General features: G+C 40.2%; 1 protein-coding gene across 1 annotated transcript; it reads right to left on the reverse strand.

Moving 5' to 3' along the window:
• Positions 1-1622: 1622 nt before the first annotated feature.
• On the reverse strand, positions 1623-8660 carry PIGM (phosphatidylinositol glycan anchor biosynthesis class M). The gene has a single exon (NM_145167.3). The coding sequence runs from the start codon at positions 8407-8409 to the stop codon at positions 7138-7140; it is 1272 nt and encodes a 423-aa protein (NP_660150.1). The 5' UTR covers positions 8410-8660; the 3' UTR covers positions 1623-7137.

Here is a 14136-nt window from a genome sequence, read left to right on the forward strand (position 1 = left end):
TATACTCTGAGCTTTAGGGGTCTCATCTGTGAAAATGGAATTTTAAAAAATTCCCACATCACAAAATTTGTGAAAGTATTTTGTATCATTACTAAAATATAAGTTGTTTACATATATGTTTCATCTTCCTTACATATTAACATGTGCTCAGAAGCCAGAGGAAAAAAATAGGTTGGGCTCAAAGTTATTGCATTATAAGCCAGTAAAAATGCTAATGTTAACTGTATTTTTCAACTAGCATTCATGTCGTTCTGCTGGATAATGTGAATTAGATTCTGGTTGCTCCTTGCTCACTCCAACTAGTAATACTTGCCTTACTGTTCTTTAAACCTGCCAAGCTCATTCCTAACTCAGGATCTCCGCACTGCTTTCACTCAGCAGGGAGGGATGCTGAGTGAAATGCTCTTCCCTTACCTCCCTGCACCATGGTTGCATGAAGGTCATGCATTCACTTCCCAGGTCTTTGTTCAAGTGCCCTCTCATCACAGTATCTTCCTAACCAGTTCATCTAAAGAAGCACCTACTCCACTCTCCGCACTGCCATCACTCTCTACTTCCTTAGCTTGTCTTATTTTTCTTTATGATATATCATCATCACAATCCTGTACTTGCTTATTCTTTGCCTCCCCATGAAAATGTAAGATCCATAAAGATAGGGTCTTTGCCTCCCTCTCTCACTCACTGCATCTACGATGCCTAGAACAATGACTGGCACACAGAAGATACTCATGGCATTTTGCTAAGTAGTTTGCTAAGTGAATGACATTTGCTAAATAAGTGAGGTTTTCCACTGTAATCACCTGTCATTGTATAGCACTAAAAAGGACTTGCAAAAAAAAAAGATTAGAATCAGAAGATCTGGGGTCCCACCCCAATCCTGCCATTAACCAGCTATTTGGCCTTGGAAAGTCACTTGTTTCTGAGTTCAGTTTTCTTATCTGTAACATACAAATAAAAATATCCTCTACCTTGCCCTACTGCCCCTCCATTTCACAAATCACATCATTGTGGAACTTAATGGGGTGTTATATAACACTTTATCAGTGGGGTATGTTTCTGTTTCTGTTTTTACTGTTAACTCTCCAAGAGCATAAACTGTCTATTCATCTATTACAGAACTTGACACAGGGCCTGGATCTATAAATAACTGCCAAAAAAAATGAAGAGCAAAGGTTATACATTTCCTTTGTAAAAAGAACTGAGCTTCAAATATTCATGCTCCAAATTATTTTTAAATAGTCACTGTAAGTGTCATTTCACTTTGTCTAGCAGACATAGCAATTAGCAGAGTGCCTGAGCAGCTATAAATGTTCTCATTTAGTCTGGTTTTTGTTCAGGATAATGAATATAAATGCTTGTTTTGACTAAATGAATGGTTCTCCTAGGCCAGTGCTGAATAAATGCTTGTGCTATTGTGACGCTTCTGACCCAGGCAGGAGACATGTGCTTCCATCTCCAGAACAGCAACCCCTGAATGACCCCTCGATACAATGGAGAAAAGAAGTGCTGTGTAATTTAGGGGCATAAACCAAACCTCCACTGCTTAGAGTCAGCTTAATGTCTGACAGAAATATACAAAACTGTAAAGCCTCAACCAGACATCTGAATAATCTGTCCATACATTTTTCACATATCAGTATTTATTATCTTTTCAAAGGAACAGGTCAAGATGAGAATAAAGTTTATGATCAAAGGTAGTCAAACATTTATTTTATATAAATATAATTTCCTTGCCTATATCCATTAGATTTGGGGAAAAAAGGTTCAAGTTTACAGTGCCAGAACAGCTCCTTCTTTAAAGGCTTGTAAACAGTGACTTGTTCTATGCCAGCATGCACACTTTGAGCATATCAACTCACTTAATCCTTACCAACAATTCTATGAAGATTGTGCTATCATTCCCATTTCACAGATAAAAACTAATGTATCTAGATATGATAATCTTGCTCAGGATCATGCACTGGGATTTGAACCTAAGTGATCTATTCTCTGATGCCGTACTATCAATGCAGTACAATTTTTAACTGCATGAATGCACACTGCAGAGCAACAGCAATTGAACAATGATCATTTGCCTTTTGGAAATTATGGCCACATACTTTGTGTAGCTTGATTTACAAATAGCTTGGCTAAAAAGCAGTTCAGCAAATCAACTTCTTAAAATAGGCTATGAAGGAAAAGTGCATGATGAAGCCAGCAGTAAACAAAGAAATTACACAATTTGGTGAGAGAGGGTTTGGAGGTGGAGGGGAGTTGTTAAAGGCCTGGAATCATTGAAAAGTTTGGGGATGACAGTGACTTGGTACAACTGAGAGAACTGCCCCTCAAAAGATTAGAAGGACAATTGATTGGCAAGAGACACTTGACAGAGCCAGTATTGAGTTCCATTTATTTTGGAGCAGTATGCATCTGCTGGGTTTGGGTACTCTGGAAAAATCCAAAACATAATATAATGGAAAAAGCATGGGTAAAAATCACTTATTAGCAAGTTGTTTAATCTTTGAGCCTCTTCGTTCATCTATAAATTTAGAATATGAATATCAACTTTGAAGTGTTGCTGTGAAAATTAAATAAAACCATATATGGCGGAATAGGTGCCCAAAATTGGTTAATCATGAAAAATTTACCATCATCAAGATGTAAAATAATTAGCTGTTGTTGTTGGGGCAGGGCTTGGAGTTGGGGGTTGGATATTAAGATTCCAAACCTGTATAATCTTTTATCTGGAAAACCTACCAGATAAAACAAAGAGATTACCACCCCCATGTTTTTAGGGAGAGAGACAGAAAGTATGACACACAAAAGAATTAATTTGTTCAACTTTGATGGAAGGTAAACCCCTTTAGTTCTCACTTTGTTTTTAAGACTAGGAAAAGATTCAAACTTCTTAATTATGGATTATCCACCATGTTCTTTCCTTCCTCGGAATCTTTGAGATCCAAGAACGTCTGTTCTTTAAGATGTAACAAAAAACACCTGAAGAAATTTGAAAATGACAGAATGTTAAATCATAATAGATAGCAGAATTATGGTTTTGTAAGAAAATACCTGATTTTTAGGAGATGCATGCTGATATATTTAGTGGTGAAGTTCAATGATGTTTGCAACTTCACATGGTTCAAAAAATTTTATAAATATATAATTATACATATACATAAAGCAAATATGGCAAATTGTTGTTGAATTTAGATGATGGCAATATGAGTAGTGTTTAAAATAGTTAGGTCAGGCGGGGTGCAGTGGCTCACGCCTGGAATCCCAACACTTTGGGAAGCCAATGAGGGAAGATCACTTAAGTGATCTCCCTCTTGCAACATAGCAAGACCTCGTCTCTACAAAAAATAAAGATTAGCCAGGCATGGTGGCAAATACCTGTGGTCCCAGCTACTTGGGAGGCTGAGGAGGAAGGATCACTTGAGCCTGGGAGTTCGGCTGCAGTGAGCCATGTTTATACTACTGCACTCCAGCCTGGGTGACAAAGCAACATCTTGTCTCAGAAAAATAAAAAAATAAAATAGTTGGAGCTGTTTGTTTTAGAGGCAAGGTGTTGCTCTGTCACCCAGGCTGGAGTGCAGTGGCACAATCATAGTTCACTATAACCTCCTCGAATTCCTGGGCTCAAGTGGTCCTCCCACTTCAGCTTCCCAAGTAGCACTTTTTTTTTTGTACAGATGGGGGTCTCACTATGTTGTCCAGGCTGGTCTCAAACTCCTGTCCTCAAGTGATCCTCCTGCCTCAGCTTCCCAAAGCATTGGGATTATAGGCATGAACCACCATGCCCAGCTCTTAAAATCGTTTATAATAAAACATGAGGGGTGGGGGGAACCAAGAGGTTGCATTTAGGGACAATCCTAGGTATAATTTTTCCATCTTTTTCCTTTTCCATTCATAGTACAGATGGTTAGGGGAGAGGGTGGTAATGCAGAAAACAACTGATATTAGAGAAGTAACAGTAAATTCAGCCACAAGTCAACTGAAAGACAAGTTCTACACAACTTCTGAAACATCTTGTAAGAGTCCAGATGGTGAGAAGTCAGTAACTAAAATCAGTGGTTTTAGGAATTCTTTTGCCAGGAAGGAACAAAGCACTGGGTGGGAGTATTAGCCTTTCCAATGGGCCTATCAAGAGAATTTATCCAGGAATATTTAGGAACCACATTCTAAAGACGTTACAAAGGCAATTACAGAAGAAAATGTCATGTAGTTCCCTCTGTTCAGAACACACACAATCTTGAGAATCATCCCTCTTTATCTAATAATTAATGCTTACCTGCAAATGAACATATCAATCTTAAGAGGTGGTATAAGAAAAAAAGAATTATATAGGAAATAAGCCAAAGTCTTATAAAATTTGAAGGTGTTATTAAAGGATTAAAAAGGAAACAAAAGGATTGTGATAAGAAGCAAAAAAAAAACATTTTTTTTACATAACCAGAAAACAAATTAAAAAATTAAAATCCCCCAAGAAACCAAATTAACTCATTTTTTTAGTTAACTTACTAAATGTTTTGGAACATACAAAGTGCAAAATATCTTTTGCATCCCTTTAAGAAACACCTGCCTTTCTTTGGTAAAGAATTTCTTGCAGGAAAGATTCCAAAGTTTGAAGTTCCCTCCAACGATCCCAGCAGAAATGTTTCTAACTTCTAAGAATGTCCTAAGAGAATGAGCTAAAACACAGAAAATGTTGAAAGTCTTATTTAGAATATTAAAAACTGGAAGCAATCTAAAGGTCTAACAGTGGAAGAATGATGTATTTATAATGTGAATATACATGTGATGTCCAACAATTTCAATTCTAAGTATGAAGAGTAAGCCACAATAAAGAATGTTAAAAAACAATAATTAGTAAGTAAATATAATTATAAAACCAAGTCAGAAATACAAAAAAAGGGACAACTATACTGGAATGATGAAATTCGATTTCTGTTTCCTGCCTCCTCCCTTGCTGGCTCTATAATTTTTTTTTTTAATTCTTAGAATAGGAAAAAAAGGTAAGAATGCTATGGCTGGAAGGCCACTAGTAAACAAGCACATATAAAGGGTCCTCAAGACAAGACCTAATATGGGTATGAAACTAAATGTTATAAGGAAGGTCATTGTCCTCAGCAACTGACTCTGCTATTTTTACCCCAAACAGGAGCCCATACAAAACCACCCCATTCTTTCCCTCTTTCTAATGAAAGGTCCCAAAAGGTATCCATCCAAGAAGTGCTGCCAATAATAACATTGTTAATTGTGACCAGCCTATAAACATCTTATTTGCAAAGGATTTTAGGCCTGAACTGACATGAAATATAATACTGTGGAACTTTTTTTGTCTTTTTGTGAGTGTTTTCTGACTGCAAAAGAACAGTTCATCAAATTACTTATCTTTTAAAAAACACAATCACAAAATCATATTCATATACTGCTACTGTAGTATTAGGGAATCCCAAGCCTAGACAGGCTGTTTAATTAAAAAAAAAAATGTAAGGATGCTTGTTTAAACAACTCAGAAAGCATTTTTCCCCCAGAAATATTACAGTGATAAGGGAAACGATCTGACCACCTAAGCCTCAGTTCCACAATCTCCCTCTAAATTCTCTGGTCTAGAAAACCCATGGCTCTCTGGGATGCTTCTTATGCTTTTCAGGAGTTTCCCTCACAGGTCTGCATTTCTATCATGGAATTTTTGATTTTTTTTTTTAAGCTAGGAAATGTCTTACTAACAAGTTGTTTTATCACCTAAAATCTACTATTATCCATTTTTACAACATAGATAACACTTGGTTGACTTAAATTCTAGAAGAAAAAAGTCTTGCTTTAGCAATCAAAAACTTAAAAACAAAGGGGTAAGAGGATACTGAAATGTACTAATAGTTTGTGTAGGACCACAAACATTAAAGGCAAGATGATAGTTTTAAAAATGTAATAACTCAAGTCTAAACATGAATGAATTTAAATTTAATCCTTTTTGTATGAAACCAAATAGCAGTCTAATACCACTGGGACTAAGTGCTATAAAAGTAAGTAATAAAACAAATACATGAAACATGATTACAATTTAAATTCTTTGGATTATCTTTTTTTTTTTTTTTTTTTGATATGGAGTCTTGCTCTGTCGCCCAGGCTGGAGCGCAGTGGTGCCATCTCGGCTCACTACAGGCTCCACCTCCGGAGTTCACGCCATTCTCCTGCCTCAGCCTCCCGAGGAGTAGCTGGGACTACAGGCACCCACCACGCCCGGCTAATTTTTTGTATTTTTAGTAGAGAGGGGTTTCACCGTGTTAGCCAGGATGGTCTCAATCTCCTGACCTCGTGATCTGCCCGCCTTGGCCTCCCAAAGTCTTTGGATTATCTTGTAAGACCCCACATTTAATATAGAAGTTTAAAACTCTCTAAAATAATACTACTAAGCATCTTAGTATTATTTAATACTTTTCTATCTAAAAAGTTGTCCTTTCCTTTTTTTTTTTTTTTTTTTTTTTGAGACAGGGTCTTGCTCTGGGCTCAAGCAATTCTCCCACCTCAGCCTCCCATGCAGCTATGACTACAGGGGTGCACCACAACACCTGGCTAATTTTTTTTTTTTTTTTTGAGACTAGGTCTCACCATCTTGCCCCAGGTGGGTCTAGAACTCCTGAACTCAAGCGACCCTCCCACCTCAGCCTCCCAAAGTGCTGAGACTACAGGCAAGGGCCACCATACACAGTTTAAGAATATTTTTTGGATTTTCACAGCTGTCAGGAAAGCTTTAGAAAGAAAAGATGGGTGTTAAAAGTTAAGACACAGCTTAAGACAGAAGCATTGTAAAACAGGAACAAATACTGGCTTAAACCTGATGTCTCTAACTATATTCCTCTATTTTAAGAATGTTTTAGTATCTGATAGTTTCATCAGCCTTTCCATTTTCCAATATGTGACCTTTATTCCCACCATGTCCCAAATAAACGAGTCCTAGGATTTCCTAGAAGGTGGACCTCAATTATTGTGTCCCTTTTATATATAAGGCAAACATTGCTTTTAAGTTCTGTTGGAACATGGGAACTTTCACTAGAATGCTTAGAATGTTCAGAAAAAATGTCCCAAAGCTCTCTTCTGGTCCATACAAGACAATCAGAATGTAACACAGTAGCAGAGGGTGTGGAACATACACTAGTCATATTTGATTCTCTCTGTCAGGGGTTCTTCTTTGTAATGGGAAATAATTTGAATCAGGATGGAACAATTGATAAGAAGAAAGAACAAACCAGCTAACCAAATAAACAGAAAGGTGTTCTTTCCTTGAAACTCTAGAACATAGGCAGGAGCCAGCCACATGGCCTGCCCTATAAACCATAACATTAGGAGAACTACAGCTCTTTTCCAAGGCATTCTGACTAGTGGCATCACAAGAGGCAGTAAGCAGAGGTACCAAAGAAAGTACTGGGAGGTGCAGACTTTGTTAAAAGTCACAAAAATGGACGTATGAAGAAAACAACAAAAAACGAGGTCTCTGTAATAGGCGAAAGACACAGCTGAAAGCAAGATGAGCTGTGGCAGGAATGCAGCAATTCCCAGGGAAAAACTCCACTTGCTCTCTGCAGTCAAATACAGCATGTAGAAGTACGGAGAAAAGTTGTGACGGATATCCCGCCTAGTCAGGTGATAAAAGTAGGTGTGTTCCAAAAATTCCCAGCCGTACTCATAGTAAAAACCAAAGCTCAGGGCAAAAAACGTGAGTCCAGCAACTGCTACAAACAGCAGCACAGCCCGATTACACAGCCTTTTCAGGAGCTCGTACAAACAAGCCTGGAAAGTGTACCGGAATTGACGGAGGCTTTTGTCATTGTCGCGATCTGGAAGCAGGTGGAGGGTTATGGGAAGGATGTAAGTCACTGGATATATCTTCATATGCACCGCGAAACCATAGAATACAGCTGCACACGCGACGAGTCTTTTCTTTATCAAGTAGAGGACCATCAGGACCAGGGAGGCGACAATAGAGTCCGCATTACCGCGGCTGGATACTGCCATAGGCAGGGGGTTAAGAAGCCAAAAGACACAGTAGCCACAAGCCTGGCGGCGCCCCAGCCCCTTCAGCAGCAGCAGGCGGTATAAGAGGAAAGCGGTGAGGAGGTCGCAGCTGATGAAGAGAAACTTTCCAAAGAGCTCGCTGAGGTAGATGTTGGGAGTGAGGAGCCAACCCAGCAGCGGGGTGTAACGGTACGTGGCTCTCAGGTAAGGCGAGCGCCCCTCCGTGACGAAGCGCGCGGCGTCGGTGAAGACCTGGTAGTCGATGTCCGTATACCTCACGTGCAGGGTCCGGTCCTGGAAGACGCCATAGAAAACCAGGGCGACTCTGGCTAGAAAGGCCACACCAAAGACGCCGGCTGGAGCCACCTTCAAGTTCAGGAGCCATTCGCCCCAGTGCTTGGTGGAGCCCATGATCTGACCGTGCGACAGCTGCTTAGCCCCAGCTCCAAACTGCCTTCGTACTTCTAACCTTCCCTTCGGTTCTTTGCAGCAGGTGGCCGCCGCATCTCCCACCCGCCAGGCTGCCAACCGAAACGACTGCAGACTATCACATCCGGCATGAAGCCCCGCCCCCGTACTGCTACCTGTCTCCAGCCCCGCGCGGTCTTCTCAGCCGCCCGAGCCAAAAACTTGCCTTCCTCTGGATGGACGGTCTCGCTTCCGCTTCTTCTTCCAGCGGAGGCGGGATTTCCGGTCCGTGGGAGGGGAGACGTCCGCTTGCCGGGAAATCCGGCACTGGCTTGAGGATTTTATGGAGTGGAGTGAGATTTCTTTGTAAGTGACAGCCCGCCGCCCCCCGCCCTCTTCCCGCGCCCCATTTCCAGTCCTCAGAGGAAAACCCTCCGACGAGCAGCGAGCTGCGGGCTGCGCGCTACATCCTTCAGTCCTGGGCTGGAGATCCGAGAGTGAAAAATGTAGGAGTGAAAGGAAGATAAGCCTTCTCATGCTTTACTCCACTAGCTCGCCGGTATTCACCGGGGATTTGTGGGCCCCGGACAGGACAGGATGAGTTGAAGGGGGCTGAGTGTGTATGTTCCATGCAATATTGGAGGCATACTTATATTTTTAAATTACTAGTTGGTAATCAGAGATTCAGATTTAAGTGGGCAGCTTGTATTTTATCCGGCAACCCTAGGTGAAGGTGATGGGAAAGAAGACAGGAAAGCGTCACAAAATTCCTTAACTTGTCAGCCCCTTATGCCTCAGTATCTCTGTATTTGCTATTTCTTCTGTCAAAGTTGCCATCCGCTCTCCAATCACTCTGGCAAATACCTACTCAACCCTTCAGGCATCAGTGCAAGTGTTAGCTCCCAGCTCCCACTCACTTCCTCATCACGCAGAATGAATGACTTAGATGCCAGTCCCCTCCCCTGTCCGAGGATAGGTAGACTGGGGCGGACGGGATCTAAGTTCCAGAAAATCACTCACACAGAAGACCCTGCCATGCTACTAAAAGTTCTCCCAGTGCTCCAGAACTCCCTGGTCATTCCTTTGTTACAGCATTTGTCACACTGCTTTGTAATAACTGTTTTTGTTTGTTTTGCTCTCCTAGTTTTCCATCAGGACACTTTCAATTCTTCGGTATCAGAGATTATCTTGTTCTTTTCTCTACCTCAACATCTAACACAGTACTAGTAGCCATTCAGTAAAGTTGAATTGATTTTAGAGGTTCCTCCTACCAGAATATTTCTAGAGTGGCATCTTTGGATTGCTCCCAACTCCCAGTTATTTTCCCTTTTAAATATCCTTTATGTATGTCAAGGTCCCCTGCTCCCCCCACCCCACTCCAACCCTACTTCCATGAATTTCTTGCCAAGGACTGTAACCCATTAGCTCTTCCCTTTCCGTGGTTACTTAGTGCACTTACATAGTCCGCATTGTAGAATTTGATACTTTATTTTAGATTGTATTCATAGCCCTCACAAGAGATTATAGGGTTCTTGGGGGTAGAAATTATATCTTATCCTTAATTTTTTTCAATTATGTGTAATTTATTGTAGTCTTAGGCACATGGTAAATGCTTAGTAAATACTGACTAATTGGATTTTATAGAATAAGCCTGCTTCCTAGGGGAAGTCTTCTAGACTAGAATAAGGAAAAGGAGGTGACTTCATGCAGTCTGAACATGCAGCTCCCAGAACTACCTGCTGCTCATCCATCCTACACTTCAATTTATCCCTTGGAGATGAACTGTGTTAATCTTATATATTCCATATTCATATTGTGATAGCTCTATGTCCTTTTATATGCCTTGGTATCATTACATGCCTTAGATTGATAATTCTAACCATTTTTTTGCAGTATATTAGCCATATATATAGTGGCAGCACATCACCACTCATATAATGATGATTATGATGATGATGATTACTATTATTTATAATAGCTGGATTTGTTGAGGACTCATTTGCAATGTACCAGGCATTATGCTAAGTACTTTTCATGTAAGGTAGATATTCCCACCTTTACAAATGAAGAAAACCAAGGCTTATGGAGATTAAGTAATTTTCCCAAGTCACATAGCTAACTAGTGACAGTGCTAGAACTCAAAACCCAGTCTGTCTGACCTAGAATATCTTAATCATTATGTGGCTGACTTGCCAATAAAATGTTGATCACAAATTCTAATTTTCCTATGTTTTCTCTTATTGATCTCTCATCTTGATATTCTGGATATTCTCTCTCACTGTGACTCTTTCTACCTCTGATTTATTCTTTTCTTCTGCAAATAATAGATAAGTGAGGCTTAGTTCCCTAAGATAGAAAATATGGGAGGTAGGTGTCTGAGGATTAACTAAGTAAGGGTCCTTGTGGCTGGATTGGTTTCAGTAGTATAGCAGAAAGGTTTCAGTCAATCTGTCCCTACATGGCTGTCCTAGTAGAGAGATGGGAGGCACCAAATTTAGGCAGATAAGGAAACAACTAATAAAAAAATAAAATAAAAAAAAAACTAAGCATGTCACTGAAGTCAAAGGAGTGAGATGTAGATAGCAGTTGTGGGAACGAAGAAGAGACTGGAATCTGTAAAACAAATTGGACAGAGAGGTCCAACTTTAGTTACTATTTCTGGGTGGAAGAGATACATCACAGGGTCCGAGGACCCCATATTGAACTTTTTGCATTGGGTTTAGGGATTGTATTTTCTCACCTCTTTCTGAAAGAGTTACATTTTTTTCAAATGCTCAACTGTTCATTACCTCTCGGACTGTTACTTACAATCCTTCTTAATTCCCCCTTTCACTATCTGCTCCTAGATTTCTATCCTTTTAGAGCCAATGACTAAGGAAAGCACAAACATGGATCGCTCAACTTTAGTTTCCCTAGCAGGAACCTTGTCCTTGTTCACTATGCTGCATATACTCTCATTACCCTTCCATATCCACTATTCATCTTTTTTGCCCTGTTCTGTGTTCCAAGAGGTTAGGCTGTATGGGTAGCATCACTCAATCTCCCTTGTTCTCTGGCTTCCCATTAGAATAGACCAGTGGGAGGCACTAGCAGATCTTTGGCAGTGTCTGGAATTCCTCACCTAAAGCCATGGCTCCTGTTGAAGCTATAGCTCTCTCCTTTGGGTACAAGTCTCATGGTTCCAGTAACTGTCCCTTCAGGTTTAAGGCTGGTAAAGGCGTCCTACTTTGCGAGTGCCTGGGTACATCACCATATCTTGTTGATTTATTAAACTTGCCCATACCTTTGCAAATAGTTTCTTCATTAAAACATGTCCACTGGCCCTTTGAGTATACCATCTGTTTCCTGCTAGAACCTTGACTACTTTAATCACTTTCTTTTTCACTAGATTTTGTTCATATGTCTTGCTTTGTCATTTCTTTGGAATCTATTTCTAATTCTTTCCATGCCCAGCATCCTGCACCTTAGTTCAGACCTTCAACAACTCAAATAATACGTAGCGAACACCTATACTATACTATACCAGGATCTGTGACAATTGCCTTTCCCTCAAGCTTTAAAAATCTCTTAACTGATTTAATGTCTTATGTCTCAATTCTACTACCAGATTGATATTAATTAATAGTACTTTACTTAGATTCTTTCCTCCATCAAACATCTTCAGTGGTTCCTGACTGCCTAAAGAAAAAAATAATGAACACTTTAGCCTGATATTCAGTCCCCCTATTTTCTGGCTTTACCTTAGCTTTCCATCCTATTCACCTATAATGCCTCTGTTTTAGGTTTACTGTTCCCAAAATATGCCTTGTGCTTTCTTCTCATGACACTTTCTTCATGCTGTACTTCCTACAAAGAGACCTGTTTCTCTTTACTTACTTAAATGCTATTTGGTTTTTCAATGTTGAACCCAACTCTCAACTCCTCTTCCTAGACCTTAACAAGTGAAATAGTCTCTCCCTCCTCAAAACAGTGATGTTTATTGTCTGTTCTCTTTTTTAATAGTAATTATGTCATGCTCGTTATCTAACTCTTTTATAGTTATTTAACAAGATATACAAGCTCCACTGCATACTTTAGGCCATTTCTTTCTCTCTTTGCTTTCTTTCCCTCCTGCTAATTTATCAAACATCATACATGTCGGGCACTATATGAGGTGCTGGGCTGTACTCGTGACCAAACACTTGACATGAATCCCATTCATGTGACACTTGAAGTCTAGTAAGCTACACAGACATTAGTCAAATAAATTGACAAATAATATACAAATGCAGCTGTGGTAAGTGCTCTAGCTTTTAAGGGGATTTATTTGATCTCAGATGGGCATAGTGTAAGAGTTAAGAAGGTTGGCCAGGCACAGTGGCTCACGCCTGTAATCCCAGCACTTTGGGAGGCTGAGATGGGTGAATCACCTGAGGTCAGGGGTTCGAGACCAGCCTTACCAATATGGTGAAACCCTGTCTCTACTAAAATTACAAAAGTTAGCCATGCGTGTTGGCGTGTGCCTGGAGTCCCAGCTACTCAGGAGGCTGAGGCAGGAGAGTCGCTTGAACCCGAGAGGTGGAGGTTGCAGTAAGCTGAGATCGTGCCACTGCACTCCAGTCTGGGCTACAGAGCAAGACTCCGTCTCAAAAAAAAAAAAAACAAGAAAATTGGAAGTTGGCAAGCAGTGGGGAGAGTTCCACAGAAGGAATAGCAGGTGGAAAGTGCCATGATTGTACATCCCTTGATTCATGCATCATGTCTTATATTTCTTTGTCAGCTGAATGATACCTTCCACATAATAGGGACTCAGCGTTTGCTGATTTTTCTTGAACCTTAATGTATTCTAACCAAACATGTTAGATTGATACCATCCCTTCCCTAGTTCCTGTCCCTGTGAAATGTTTCCCACAGAGATCTCACTCTTTTTGGAACATTCTGCTAATGTTATATCTGGCATTAGTACATGGTACCTGCTATTGCTTTTCATTATATTTGTTATATGCTACTTGTTTTATTTCTGTTTTCTAACAAGTTTATAGGTTTCTTCAACCTTTTAGGCCTTTTAGGAACAATACATGTCCTATATCTTATATGTCTCATATGTCTTAGGATTCATTCCTAGTATTTCCTAAATGTTGTACTTAAGTATTTATTGATCATGGTAAGAGACCCAATTTTCTCCCTCCTCCTCTCTCTCTCCTTCCACTTCTGGGGAACAAGAGTCAGCGATCATAGGGTCTTTTGCCTCTCATCAGAGAAAATTCAGGCCTGGATATTAACAACCAGACCTTTCTCAGGCTACTGACAGACAAGGGTAGAAGAGAAATCCATTTATTTGAGATTTGAGGGAAGAAATGCCTGGTGATTAAAGGAATAAGCTTACAAAGAACCTTGAGGATATATAAGGAAAACTGGCAACAAGACTACATGGTAGCATGGAAGGGAAATTGGGCTTGTGATCACTGGCCAAAAGGGACAATGCCCAGGATCCAAAGCAACTTGACTTTTATGGATTAAGCTGAGCCAATTTTCATACTTCTGGGTCTTAAAGTTTTTTTCAGTATTGTCCCATGAAAACCGAATGTGAAAGGAACTCGCTAAAGCATGAGAGAAAAACAGAAGGGGCTTGGCCATGCAGTCAGAAGTTCTTCCAGCACAGCCGAATTCAACCCTCCACACTCATGGGTAGGTAGGTCTATGAGTTCAGACCTTGACAGTCTTGGTTTAGCTTTTTAAAAGAAGCTAGAG

This window comes from Homo sapiens, chromosome 1 (assembly GCF_000001405.40).
Source record: "Homo sapiens chromosome 1, GRCh38.p14 Primary Assembly".
In the NCBI taxonomy this organism is placed as follows: Eukaryota; Metazoa; Chordata; class Mammalia; order Primates; family Hominidae; genus Homo; species Homo sapiens.